Genomic DNA, 13,839 nt, shown 5'->3' on the forward strand with positions numbered 1-13,839 from the left:
TTGGGAACAGTGGGCACAGCTCTGTGCAGCCTCAGGCATGCAAAAGCAACCAAGACAGGAGTCTCCAGCCGAGGTCTACACCAGCCACCAATGCCTGCAGTACTCCGGGAAGGAGACCCTTCTTCTGCATCGGGCCCTTCTCTCCAGGACACTGTGGTCCGATTCAGCCAAGGTGCCCAGAGTACCTGCCAGGCCTGCTCAGGCTTAGGTGCGGATGCAGAAAAGTCAGACTTGAGCAGACGAGCTTGGCACCATGGTGTGGCCTGAGCAAGTCGCTGCCCCGCCTGGGCTCCAGGTCCTCAACGGACAGTGAGGAGTCCACAGGAGACAGACTCTCAGACAGAATCCAGCCGCCCAGCGCCCAGACGCCCTTTACGCAGATGCCTCTGCGGGGAAGCAGCTTCCGTGCTGACATGAGCAGTCTGGACTTCAGGATAAAGCTGCAATGCTCACCACGAGGGACAAACCCGCGTCCTGACGCCCAGAGCACATGCCCGGCCCCTGCGGCCTCCCCTTCATGGCCTAACTCTGCATCAGGGTGGCGAATAAAATGCAGGACGCCCAGCTGTTAGGATTAATCTGAAGTTCAAATCTAATTTGCATGGCACACAAACATTTATTGTTGTTGATCTGGAGTTGGAATAGAACAGGGATCCCTGTATTTCCACTGCTAAGCCTGGCAGCCCCCCTCGGAGCAGCACTGAGCGGTAGGGGTGAACCCCCGCTGGGAGGAGCAAAGCAAAGAAGCAGGGGCTGGGGGAGGAAGGAGGTGATGGGCAGTTACGCCCCAGGTGGACGGAGATGGCTGGGGAACAGTCAGGTGTGTGGCGGGGTGGGTGGGGTCGTGGGCTGGGGGCTACTTTGGACCACCCTGAGGAGCTGAGCCGCATGGGGCTGAGGGCGGGCTGATCCCTCACCTGGAAAATCCAGTGGGGAGCAGACATTGGAGCAGACTCATTTTTCTGAGGCAGGCTCAGCCCAGGACAGGGGTTGGGCAGGTGTCCCGGGGAGAAGGAAGCTCGACGGCACAGGGGTGGGTGGAGGGCGGTGTGAGAGAGGGGAAGGGGGTGTTCTCTCAGTGGTGGCATGGAGACCGCTCACCTGGGCACACGGGGACACCAGCTCCGTCTGTCCGGGGCTCCAGTCGCCAGCTCAGGGCCAGACCACAGGCTGCAGCTCCCCTGGAACGTGCAGCTGGGTGGGGGAACCCTCTAGGTCTCCCCAGGTGCTGGCCACAGTGGGTTTTGTTTTGCTTGGTGGTTGGCGTTTTAGTTTTTTACATTTTGGTAAATAAACATGACTTTTACCATCTTGACCACCTTTAAGTGTGTGGCTCAGCGCCATGAAGAACATTCGTGTTGCGGCGCGGCCATTGTCACCGTCAGTCTCCAGAGCTCGTCTCATCTTCCAGGCTGAGACTCTGTGCCTGCTCCACACTGACTCCTGCCCCTCCCCCAGCCCCTGGCTCTCACCATACTACCTTCCGTTTCTAGGGCTTGGAGCGCTCCTGGGACCTCAGGTAAGCGTCGGCCTTAGCACGCGCTTATTTCACCTGGCGTTATATCCTCAGGGTTCTTCCAGATTGTGGCATGTGTGAGAATTTCCTTCCTTTTAAAGGCGGAGTAATGTTCCACGGTGGGGACGGACCACATCATCTGTGAACAGACACCTGGGCTCCTTCCACCATCGGCTGCAGTGCAAATGCTGCTATAAACACAGGGGTATGAATATCTCTTTGAGTCTCTGCTTTCAGTTCCTTGGGGTATATGCCCAGAAGTGGGTTCCTGGATCATATGGGAACTCTGTTTAATTTTCTGAGGATTTGTCACACCATCGCCACTGCAGTGCACGAGAGCCCTGGCTTCTCCACGTCCTCCCCAGCACTCATCCTCTGCGTTCTGGGTAAGAGCCATCCCAGGGGTTGTGAAGTGCTGACGTGCTGTGGTTTTTGATTTGCATTTCTCGGATGAGGCGACTCTGAGTGTCTTTCACATGCCTGTTGGCCATGTGTGTATCTTCTTTGGAGAAACGTCTGTTCAGGTCTTTCGCTCATTTTTAATTGTGTTGTTTGTTTTCTTGTTGTTGGGTTGTAGGAATTCTTTTTTTTTTTTTTTTTTTTTTTTTTTAGACAGAGTCTCCCTCTCACTCAGGCTGGAGTGCAGTGGCGCCATCTCGGCTCACTGTAACCTCTGCCTCCCAGGTTCAAGCAATTCTCATGCCTCAGCCTCCTGCGTAGCTGGGATGACAGGCGCACGCCACCAGGTCCAGCTAATTTTTTTGTATTTTTTTAGTAGAGACGGGGTTTGGCCAGGCTGGTCTCGAACTCCTGACCTCAGGTGACCTACCTGCCTTGGCCTCCCAACATGCTGGGATTACAGGTGTGAGCCACCACGCTTGGCCAGAATTCTTTATAAATTCTCAATACTAATCCCCTATCAGATATAAAATTGGTAAATATTTTCTCCCATTCTGTGGGTTTTCACTTTCTTCATAGCATCCTTTGATGCACAAGTTTTCAATTCTGATGCAGTTCAATTTATCTATTTTTTTCTTTCATTGTCTGTGCATTTGATGTCATATCCAAGAAATCACTGCCAAATCCTGTGTCATGAAGCTTTTGCCTACATTTTCTTCTAAGCTCTGTATGGCTTGGGCTCTTACCTTTGGATCCCTGGGCAGGCCAGTAGCCCCAAGCCTCCTCTGGTCCCCAGGCAGGAGGTCCCTCCCCAGGCACCTTTCTTCACTGTGCTGTGGTATTCAGCCTCTGCCACGCTGACAGAAAGCACCAGAGAGCAGGGTCCCCAGGCAGCCCTGCAGCCTCTCCCAGGACCCAGGTCCCCCAGGGCCTGCCACGGCAGCATCCACCGGCAACCCCTCACGTGGATAAACACAGGGTGGGTGAAGAGCGAGGTCTTCTCTCCCACCCCACAGAACCTCTCAGGACCTGCCTGCGCCCACAACCATCTGGATGCCCCCTAAAACCCAGCACATGTATCCAGCTGGCCTCTCCTCTCAGGAGAGTGGAAAAGACCTTGAAAATCACACCAAATGCATTGTTCTCCCGCATCAGACCACTTGCCTCACCAGCCACCACCCCTGCCCTCAGCTGGCCTCCTGTCCACGCCCGACAGATGGGGGTGGGACGGTGCCACTCGGCTGCTGTGTGCAGAATGGGGTGGCACTTCCATGCCCTCTGAAGAAAGTTCATGTGCAGGGCAGCTCTGCAGAGAGGGTAGGCAGTGGACAGAATGTGGCGCCCTCTGTCCCAGCCTCACAGCCTCCAGGGCTGCCCGTCCTGCCGTAATCACACTGGGATCTTTCCTGCCTTCCATCACTGTCTCAGCTCATTCAGTGACTCTGCACCCCCCAGGGCCAGCGTCTCCTCCTCAGAGCCAAGTCCACACCTGGCAGAGTAGACTGTCTGAGAGGACAGCCAGTGACTGCTCAAGAGGAGTGGCTCCATAGCTCCCCGGGGCTGACCTGGGTCACAGCCTCTTTGGGTTCTGTCCGAGGCACATCCCCTGCTGGTGCTAGACAGGAAAAGACACCCATGGCCGGCTGTGTGGGTGCCTGGCGGCCAGAGTGTCTGTGCCTGCTCATCATCGGTTCCTGTGTCCCCATGTGGGCCCAGCACAGCCAGGATTAGGGACTGTCCCCAAGGAGATAAGGCTGTAACTCCTTATCTCCTTGATAAGGAGATACAACGTTATCCTTGATAAGGATAAGCAAGGTTTCCTGTTTCAAGGGAACAATGACAAAACCGGTGATGGCGTATCTACAGACAGGTGTTCCTCTGAGCCCAGGAGGGTTCTTCCTCAGCCTCCAAAGCCAGGCAGGTGGGGCAGGACAAGGAGGACCGCATCTAGAATGGCCATGGGTGCCGAGTACTTTCCCCAGTCCCAGGGAGGGAGGCGTGAGGTCCAGAGAACAAGAGCTCAACCCCCATCAGGCTGTGGGTCAGGACTGGGCAGGGCCCCCCGAGCCCCGCCCTCCCGAGAGCCCACCCCACAGAACGCCTGCACTCAGGGAGGACCCTCTATCCCATCCTCCACTGTCCCAGGGCGTTCCCCGGGGGGCCCAGCCAGGCTCCGGCCAAGGCCTACCCTGTGGGTTCTTCTAGTCTAGCCATGGCCCTGGTCTGGGAGCCCCATAATGGACACCCCGCAGTGAGGCCTTGGGGGGCATGCACGGGGCTGGGCCAGCCCTCGCGCCCTGGAAAGGCATCCTGGGGGGACTCCGGGCCACCGCCGGCAGGCGTGGGCTTTCCTGTACAGACACAGGGGGGCAGGGTTAAGGGGGAGAAGCAGCAAAGGGGGAGAAGTGGAAAAGAAACGAGGATGCGTCCGGTGGAGCAGCCAGGACCCCAAGGCTAAGAGGAGGTGGGCGGCAAGGAGGGCCTGCCTTGGGTCAGGGCCCCACCAAGAGGAGGGACCAACCTTCATGGTTCACCAGGACTCTCCCAGGAAATCCCTCCTCCGTGGGCAAACCCTGCAGTGACTGAGGAAAAGGGGCACGGGAGGACATCTGGGAAAATCATGGACTTGGAGCTGCCGCAGGCGGGGGAGGCTGAACTGCAGGCGGCCACGCCCACCCCAGATGGCACAGAGGCTCCAGGCGATGCCCACCTGGACCGACAAAATCCCATCCTCACGTTTGGTCTCGTCCAGGGCAACTCCACAGCCAGAAGGAACTTTCTAAAACTCAGACAGGCCGGGCGCAGTGGCTCACGCCTGTAATCCAGCACTTTGGGAGGCCAAGGCGGGAGGATTGCTTGAGGTCAGGAGTTCAAGAGCAGCCTGGTCAACATGGTGAAACCCCATCTCTACTAAAAATACAAAAATAAGCTGGGCATGGTGGCGAGTGCCTCTAATCCCAGCCACTCTGGAGGCTGAAGCAGGAGAATCACTTGAACCTGGTGGGGGGAGGTTGCAGGGAGCCAAAATAGGGCCACTGCACTCCAGTCTGGGAGACAGAGCGAGACTCCATCTCAAAAATAAATAAATAAATAAAAATAAAATTAAACACAGATGGGAGCCCCTGCCCACCAGCCCTCCTGAGAGCCGTCACCTGCAGAGGCCACAGGGGGTGTCTCCACCTGGCTGGGCCCAGTGCACGTCACCTTTGGCCTGGATGTACGGCTTCAGGTCAGGGTGTCTCTCCAACACCCCGACTCAGGCCACCGGGCCGCCCCTGAACATGGGCATCTGTGTCAGGACTGACACAGGACTTGCTTCTGGCATATGAGGTCTTATCTCCACCTATCCAAGAGGCCCGCATGGGAGATCACACTAGCCTCCCAGCCACTCCCCACCGTTCACAGGTCCACACGGATGCCCCTTCCTCACTCCACCCGCCCTGCCCCCAGCAGGAACTCTCACCAGAGGCCAGGGCCACACCCTCTAAGCCCTGACCCACCTCAGGGGAGTTCAGCGGAGCCCCAGCAGGAAACGCTGCCCCTCCCCACTCAGGCTGAGGCATGGAGGGCAGGACTCTCCATGGCCACAGGGCCTCCCAGGACTCTGAGGGTGGGCGACCGGCAGTCTTGGGTCCCTGGGGGATCTGGAGGCTGCTCAGGGAGGGGCCTAGCCCATGGAGTGGGTGTCCTCAGTCTGGACCTGAAGCCAGAGGTCATGCTTGGGCCAGAAGCACGAGGTTCGGAAGGACTGACCAGGCCCCTGGCACCCCAGGGACTGTCCAGTGAAGCCCAGCCCGGATGCCCATGGGGCCATGTCTGGCCAGAGAGCCTGGCCTGTCCCTGCAGGGCCACCCTGGAGGTTGTCCTCAGGAGTGGGGGTGAACAGAGCACAGGTGTTTCTCTGGGAGGGCTCCTTTTGAGTACAGGTGCCTCTGCTTCTTGAATTTCGCCTCTGAGGAGGTGGCCTGGGCCCTCAGCCCCTCTCTCGGCAGCCCCAGGGACAAACATGCTGGTCCCCCAAGTTGGCATCCACCTCCACTGCCCGGGCCCCTGTGGCCTTGCTGGGCAGGCTGCCTCCCGGTCTCCTGGGCTGGCTCCAAGAACCTGGGTCTCTGAGAGACTCGGAGATGTACCCATCCCCAGAGGCCCCTGAACAGGGCAGCCTTTCATGGGAGGGCAGCCACTCCTGCTGCAGGGCCCACCTCTGCGGCTGTCCCTTCCCCAGAGGGACTCCTGCCAGCATCAGCTCAAGGAGGTCCCAGCTCAGAATGAGGAGCCCCAGAGGGAGTGGAATGGGGCGGAAACGCTGGCATGGCTGCCTGCCAGGCACCTGACTTCATCTGAGGCCCCAGGAGGCCCAGACTCCGAGCCACAGAGCTCTGCGTCTGTAGGGACAGCCGGCCTGGGGGTGGCAGGCATGGCCCTGCTTCCCTCCCATTGCCCCACCTATGGGAAGCTGCCCTGCCCTGGCATCCAGACAGCCCCTGGCAGCCCCTGGGGTGGGAAGCCGTGGGCAAGTTCTGCAGACCCTCCACCACGCATGCTGACCAGGGACTTCTCCCCTTCGGACAGGGTGGCTGGTGGTCCTTTCCGATTCCACAGGGTGGGAAACAGTGCAGGTTCCCAGGGCAAGGGTGGACCCATGGGCAGGTGACTCTGAAGGGCTCTAGCGGGAGTCAGACTCCAGAAGGACTCACAGGTGCAAGGCCAGGAAGACAAGATTCCTTTGCCCCTCAGGCAGGCAGCGTCCCTCTCCAGGTCTCAGTCCACCACCTGCGACGACCACTACGTTCTTTGACAAATGTTTTTCAAAAGTCATAGTTTATGAGTCCAGATGAAGGAAGACCAGTGCTCTGCATGCTGCCTCTGCCCACCGTGTGTCCAGCAAGCACACGGCTCCCCCTGGAGCGAATGCGGGAGGGGGTGTCTGGGGGAAAGGCCAGCCCCTCCCAGGTGCCGTTGCTCAGGTAGACAGTTTTACCCAGGGCGTCTCCAGGTCTCCAGGCAAAACTGCTTCCAGCCAACAGCGTTCCTTTGTCCCCACAGCAACAGGGTCCTGCACTCCTGTTTCCAGGGAAACCCAGCTCTCAGCGTCCCGGTTGCCACAGCAATGCCTACGGGCTCAGCTGGCCATACTGTCTTACCCACAGGGCAAGAGCAACTGGGTGCCCAGGCTCGGGACACAAGACTGCAGAGCCAGGTGCCACACAGGTGTGGGGCCCGTGGACCAAGGAAGACCCTGGCCAGTTGGAGGAGAACTGCCAGGTAGCAAAGCCCAGACTTCTCTGGGGTCCTGCGCTCTGGGCTGCAATGAGCTCTGCCTCCAGTGAGCCTGGCAATGGGGACGCCTCCCAACAGCCCCTACTGGGGCTGGACACCGTGATCCAGGTCAGTGGGGTGGTCACTTCCCTGCACCCTCCTGAGAGCAGGTTGCCAGGACACTTTGGAAGGGACGCGGCAAAGAGAGGGGATGGCCAGGAGGCACCTTCCTGGCTCCCGGGGCACTTTCCACTTGCTCACGTGTTTGCCTTGAGCGTGCAGCCAGTCACGGATGCAAGCAGGCGCGCCTGCATGCACACACAGGCAGCCTTCAGCCAGGAGAGAGAGCCTGGGGAGAGAGGGCCCAGGGCCGCTGCTGGCTATAGACATTCAGGTGGCCGGTGTCCCTTGCAGCCACAGGTTTGCGGGGTGGAGAGAGAGCCCGGGGCCGCTGCTGGCTGTGGATGCTCAGGTGGCCGGCGTCCCTGGCAGCCACAGGTTTGCAGGGTGGAGAGAGAGCCCGGGGCCGCTGCTGGCTGTGGACGTTCAGGTGACTGGCGTCCCTGGCAGCCACGGGTTTGCAGGCTGCGCACTGGGGTGGGGATGGGCAGGCAGCCCTTGGTGCTGACATTCTGGGACCTCGTTCACTGCCCTCCCATGGCCAAGTGTGGGGCCAGCAGGGCCTCTCGGGGGACAGTGTTTCCATCGCTGCACATTTGTGGGAGGCTGTGGCTCAGCCCTAGTGTCTATTCTGTGGCTTCCAGATGTTCTGGTTCTGTCTTCGTAGCACCTGGTGTGTGACAACAGTGGCTGGGAATTGTCCCGTGTCCCTCTCCCCTTGCCTCCCTACTTCCCAGAGCCCACCTAGGACCCAGCCTGCGGTCCCACCTCGGATATCCCTCCTCCCTGCACTGCCGTCACCTGCTGCTGACCACCACAGCCAGGCGGCCCCACCTCCAACGGACCCCTCGGGACCCCAGGGAACCCCTGACGAACTGGCTTACTCATGGTTGCTTGTTAACCCAGCTCTTAGCATCTCAAAACTATGCCACGGCAGGCTGACATGGCCCTATCCAAACAATACAGATCACCTGAAAAGAGAAATGGCCACAGCTGGTGCAGGTGACCGAGTGACAGGGTAGATGCAGGGTTTGCTCACACACAGGGCTGCATGAGGACTAAGGGCAGGATATTTGAATCAGGCGATGCAACAAGACAAAGAGGTGCCGTGGGGTGAGCTCTACCTCCTCCACCTGGGGTGAGCTCTACCTCCTCCACCTCGGGTGACCTCTACCTCCTCCACCTGGCGTGAGCTCTACCTCCTCCACCTGGGGTGAGCTCTACCTCCTCCACCTCGGGTGACCTCTACCTCCTCCACCTGGGGTGAGCTCTACCTCCTCCACCTGGGGTGAGCTCTACCTCCTCCACCTGGGGTGAGCTCTACCTCCTCCACCTGGGGTGAGCTCTACCTCCTCCACCTCGGGTGACCTCTACCTCCTCCACCTCGGGTGACCTCTACCTCCTCCACCTGGGGTGAGCTCTACCTCCTCCACCTGGGGTGAGCTCTACCTCCTCCACCTCAGGTGACCTCTACCTCCTCCACCTGGGGTGAGCTCTACCTCCTCCACCTGGCGTGAGCTCTACCTCCTCCACCTGGGGTGAGCTCTACCTCCTCCACCTCGGGTGACCTCTACCTCCTCCACCTGGGGTGAGCTCTACCTCCTCCACCTGGGGTGAGCTCTACCTCCTCCACCTGGGGTGACCTCTACCTCCTCCACCTCGGGTGACCTCTACCTCCTCCACCTGGGGTGAGCTCTACCTCCTCCACCTCGGGTGACCTCTACCTCCTCCACCTGGGGTGAGCTCTACCTCCTCCACCTGGGGTGAGCTCTACCTCCTCCACCTGGGGTGAGCTCTACCTCCTCCACCTGGGGTGAGCTCTACCTCCTCCACCTCGGGTGACCTCTACCTCCTCCACCTCGGGTGACCTCTACCTCCTCCACCTGGGGTGAGCTCTACCTCCTCCACCTGGGGTGAGCTCTACCTCCTCCACCTCAGGTGACCTCTACCTCCTCCACCTGGGGTGAGCTCTACCTCCTCCACCTGGCGTGAGCTCTACCTCCTCCACCTGGGGTGAGCTCTACCTCCTCCACCTCGGGTGACCTCTACCTCCTCCACCTGGGGTGAGCTCTACCTCCTCCACCTGGGGTGAGCTCTACCTCCTCCACCTGGGGTGACCTCTACCTCCTCCACCTCGGGTGACCTCTACCTCCTCCACCTGGGGTGAGCTCTACCTCCTCCACCTGGGGTGAGCTCTACCTCCTCCACCTCAGGTGACCTCTACCTCCTCCACCTGGGGTGAGCTCTACCTCCTCCACCTGGCGTGAGCTCTACCTCCTCCACCTGGGGTGAGCTCTACCTCCTCCACCTCGGGTGACCTCTACCTCCTCCACCTGGGGTGAGCTCTACCTCCTCCACCTGGGGTGAGCTCTACCTCCTCCACCTGGGGTGACCTCTACCTCCTCCACCTCGGGTGACCTCTACCTCCTCCACCTGGGGTGAGCTCTACCTCCTCCACCTGGGGTGAGCTCTACCTCCTCCACCTCAGGTGACCTCTACCTCCTCCACCTGGGGTGAGCTCTACCTCCTCCACCTGGCGTGAGCTCTACCTCCTCCACCTGGGGTGAGCTCTACCTCCTCCACCTCGGGTGACCTCTACCTCCTCCACCTGGGGTGAGCTCTACCTCCTCCACCTGGGGTGAGCTCTACCTCCTCCACCTGGCGTGAGCTCTACCTCCTCCACCTCGGGTGAGCTCTACCTCCTCCACCTCGGGTGACCTCTACCTCCTCCACCTGGGGTGAGCTCTACCTCCTCCACCTGGGGTGAGCTCTACCTCCTCCACCTCAGGTGACCTCTACCTCCTCCACCTGGAGCTCGGCCAGCTCTGCCTGGGTGTTGGCTCCATGAGTTCTGAGAGCAGGGCTGGTGAATGGAGGCTGGAGAGCCAGCACACTACGTTTGCAGGACACTTGCAGCCCTGTGAGGATTCTCATCCCCTCGGATGTCAGGAAAGCCGAGGCGTAAGGGTTGGAGGGAGCTGCTGTGGTTAGCGGCTGGTCTGAGGGGGAATCCCAGGCCGATGCTGACATCAGGCAGGGGCATGAGCACTGTGCAAATGTGGCTGAGAGATGCTTAGCTTTGTCTGCCCCCAAATTCCCACTGTCCCCAGGAAACTCATCTGGAGGCTACGCAGGCCCCAGTGAAGTCTGCTCTGCCCGCCCTGCTGACACCTGTTATTTTTGCTGTAGTGATTGAGATCTTGATGCCATTACCCCAGAGTGAGCAGGGAGCAGGCGGGTGCCAGACGCCCAGATCAGCTGTCCAGATGGGCAGCAGAACCGTAGGGACACTCCACCCTCCAGCTATAGCCTGGGAGACCATAGGGCCTGAGGAAGGCCGTGGCTTGAGGATGCAGGAGGCCCCCTGTGACCAGGGGTGGTGGCTCTGGACGGATGGCGAACATGCTCCCAGGCCCGGAGAAGCCTCTCTGACATCCCTCTTCCTCCGGCCACAGCTGCTCTCCCCTCCTTTGGAAGCCCCCCAGCAACCTCTGCACAGCACCCCAGAATGCCCCCACCCTGGAGCTGGAATTGGATGTAAAGGGGCAGGCTTGGAAACTCTCAACCTCTGTCCCTGGGGTGAGCAAGTCGGACTTGGGGAGTGCAAAGCCCCCTGAAATTGCCCGTGAAGTGGGGGGTATCTGTGACTGCCTTGAGGGGTGGGGGTGTGCCCTTCCTCGGAATCTCCAGCACCCAGACCCGCAGCTGATGGAGAAGCATGGCGCAGAGTCCCGGACGAGGAACCCAGCACAGAAAGCCCAGTCCCCTCAGAGCTGGGGGCTCCTCAGACTCCCGTTCCTTGGCTTGAATTTTGATTTGTGCTATTTTTCTAGGAAATTGTCCATTACATCCAAATTTTCAAGTTGTTGAAATTGGCAAAAGTTGTTCACAATATCTTCTTCCTGTCTTTTGGATGTCTGCAGGATCCGTGGGGTAACCAGCTGTCCCTCTTTGCTGAGGGGCTCGAGACAGGGGTTTCCCAGGACTCCAGACAGCCTTGGGTCTGGAACCCCAGTCCTGGGCACAGTGGGGAGGAAGTGGTTGCCCCGAAGTGGCATCCCCTTTCTCGTTTCTGATACTAGCCGCGTACCGGCTCATAGTATTCTTATCTTGTGTTTCATTAACCTACATATGCATTCTTCCTTTAACCTGCATATGCATTCTTCCTTCGCTTTCAGTTTCTCTGGGTTTGTTCTTCATCTCACTTCTGGAAATATGTGCTTGACTCATTGATTGTTCAGCCTTTTTAAAAATTTCTTTTTTTCTGGCCGGGTGCAGTGACTCACACCTGTAATCCCAGCACTTTGGGAGGCTAAGGCGGGCGGATCGCTTGAGGTCAGGAGTTTGAGACCAGCCTGGCCAACATGGTGAAACCCCGTCTCTACTGAAAATACAAAAATTAGCCAGGCATGATGGCAGGCGCCTGTAATCCCAGCTACTCAGGAGGCTGAGGCAGGAGAATCGCTTGAACCCAGGAGGTGGAGGTAACAGTGAGCCAAGATCGCACCACTGTACTCCAGCCTGGGAGACAGAGCGAGACCCTGTCTCAAAAAAAATAAAATAAATTTTTAAAAAAATTTTTCATTTTTCTTTAAATTGTGGGAAAATATACATAACATAAAACTGACCATTTTAACCATTTTTAGGAACAATTCTGTGGCACTAAGCACATTCGTAGCGTTGAGCAACCATCACCACCATCCACGTCCACAACTTTTTTTTTTTTTTTTTTTAGACAGAGTTGGTCTCTGTCGCCCAGGCTGGAGTGCAGTGGTGCGATCTCGGCTCACAGCAGCCTCCGCCCTCCCATCTTCAAGCAATTCTCGTGCTTTAGCCTCCCCAGTAACTGGGACTACAGGCACACGCCACCATGCCCAGTTATTTTTTGTATTTTCAGTGGAGACGAGGTTTCGCCACGGTAGCCAGGAGGGTCTCGAACTCCTGACCTCAAGCGATGTGCGCGCCTCAACCTCCCAAAGTGCTGGAATTACAGGTGTAAGCCGCCACGCCCGGCCCCAGAACTTTCATCTTCCCAAACTGAGACTCTGCCCCCATTCAACATTCACGCCCCATTCCCCCCTCTCCCAGCCCCCACCATCCTACTCTCTGTCTCTATGAACTTGGTGACTCTAGCAGCCTTGTCTAAGTGGATCAGATGGTATTTGTCCCTTCGTGGCGGGCTTATTTCACTGAGCATGACACCCTCGAGGTCCACCCATGTTGTAGCAGGCGCCAGCATTTCCTTGCTTTTTAAGGCTGAGTAATGTTCTACTCATAGAGGGACCACACTCTGTTTATTCATTCATCTCTGAATGGACGCCTGGGTAGCTTCTGCCTGCCGGCCGCTGTGAAAATGCTGCTGTGAACCTCGGAGTACAAATATTTCTTCGAGCCTCTGCTTTCAATTCTTTCGGGCAGATGCCCAGAAGTGGATGGCTGGGTCGCGCGGAGAGTCTACATTTAATTTTGTGGAGACCTGTCATGCTGTCTTCCGTAGTAACCGCACCGTCTTACCCTCCCGCTTCTTTTCCTCTCTGACGTACGCACTTCCCTCCAGGCAAGGTTTATCTGTCTGTACTGTTGTTACTCATACCACTTTTAACACCAAATGTGTGGGTTTTTCCTGACACCAGCCAATTCTCCACCTCCCTGGACACCAGCTAGCTGTCCTACAATTCAATCCAGTTCGGACCCTAACCATCCAGAGCGGGCACAGACCCACAGTTTAAGGACTCAGTCCCATAAAGCTGCCCCACCTCAGATGCCAATCACAAGTCCTGGGCCTCCCGTATTCTGTCTGACTGGCTATGAATTAGGGGTTCTTCCAACTCCCTGCTCAACTTGATAATTTGCTGGAACAGCTCACAGAACTCTGGAAGTGACTTTCCCATTTGATTACTGGTTTATTATAAAGGACACAACTCAGGACTAGCCGGAAGGAGAGGTGCCCAGGTCAAGGTACAGGGGGCAGGTACGGAGCCTCCAGGCCCCTGGGCACACCAACCACCCACAGCACTGCCTTGTATTCAGCAACCCAGCCTGCCCAGCCCTGTGGTTTAGGGTTTTTATGGAACCTTCATTAAGTAGGCAAAATTCATTAAATCACTGGCCGTTGGTGATCAGCTCCAGAGACAGCTCCTCTCCCCTCCCCAGATGTCAGGGTGTGGGGCTGAAAGCACCAACGTTCTAATCGTGCCGTGGTCTTTCTGGTAACCAGCCCCTACTTTGCGGCTATCCAGGGGCCCTGGCCATCAGTCGTCTCATAGGCCAACAGAAGACACGCTTATCACTCAGGAGATCCCAAGGGACCAAGTCTAGGGTCCCCACCACGGGACAGGAGCGGTGGATGGTTTCCAAGCAGCCAGGCCACGGTGCCCGTCGCTGAGCTCCGCACTGTCACAAGCAAGCCAGAGGCAGATGCTCAGCCCATCTCCCAATCTCCCAGGCCACATCCAGGCCCTGTCAGGCACAGCCAGGGCCACTGTGCTAACAACACGGGCCCATCCTCCCGCTCAGGAACCCCCACTAGCCCCGGGGTCCAAGGA

General features: G+C 58.1%; 1 protein-coding gene across 2 annotated transcripts in view, besides 3 other annotated features; it reads left to right on the forward strand.

The window, feature by feature from the left end:
* Positions 2,888 to 3,389: an enhancer, noted in NCBI's record as "H3K4me1 hESC enhancer chr2:241841593-241842094 (GRCh37/hg19 assembly coordinates)". NCBI's record gives its function as "activates a minimal SCP1, AML or CMV promoter by ChIP-STARR-seq in primed H9 embryonic stem cells {active_cell/tissue: H9 hESC(primed)}" and the evidence as "EXISTENCE:reporter gene assay evidence [ECO:0000049][PMID:30033119]".
* Positions 3,390 to 3,889: an enhancer, noted in NCBI's record as "H3K4me1 hESC enhancer chr2:241842095-241842594 (GRCh37/hg19 assembly coordinates)". NCBI's record gives its function as "activates a minimal SCP1, AML or CMV promoter by ChIP-STARR-seq in primed H9 embryonic stem cells {active_cell/tissue: H9 hESC(primed)}" and the evidence as "EXISTENCE:reporter gene assay evidence [ECO:0000049][PMID:30033119]".
* Positions 5,701 to 6,201: an enhancer, noted in NCBI's record as "H3K4me1 hESC enhancer chr2:241844406-241844906 (GRCh37/hg19 assembly coordinates)". NCBI's record gives its function as "activates a minimal SCP1, AML or CMV promoter by ChIP-STARR-seq in naive H9 embryonic stem cells {active_cell/tissue: H9 hESC(naive)}" and the evidence as "EXISTENCE:reporter gene assay evidence [ECO:0000049][PMID:30033119]".
* Positions 7,048 to 13,839, forward strand: part of CROCC2 (ciliary rootlet coiled-coil, rootletin family member 2) — an 86,976-nt gene continuing 80,184 nt past the window's right edge. For both annotated transcript variants that reach the window (XM_024453115.2, NM_001351305.2), the window contains exon 1: positions 7,048 to 7,303. In XM_024453115.2, coding sequence (XP_024308883.1) covers positions 7,226 to 7,303 — 78 coding nt within the window. In that variant the 5' untranslated portion in view covers positions 7,048 to 7,225. The remainder of the gene's footprint in view (positions 7,304 to 13,839) is intronic.

The sequence above is a fragment of the Homo sapiens genome, chromosome 2, assembly GCF_000001405.40.
Source record: "Homo sapiens chromosome 2, GRCh38.p14 Primary Assembly".
Lineage (NCBI taxonomy): Eukaryota > Metazoa > Chordata > Mammalia > Primates > Hominidae > Homo > Homo sapiens.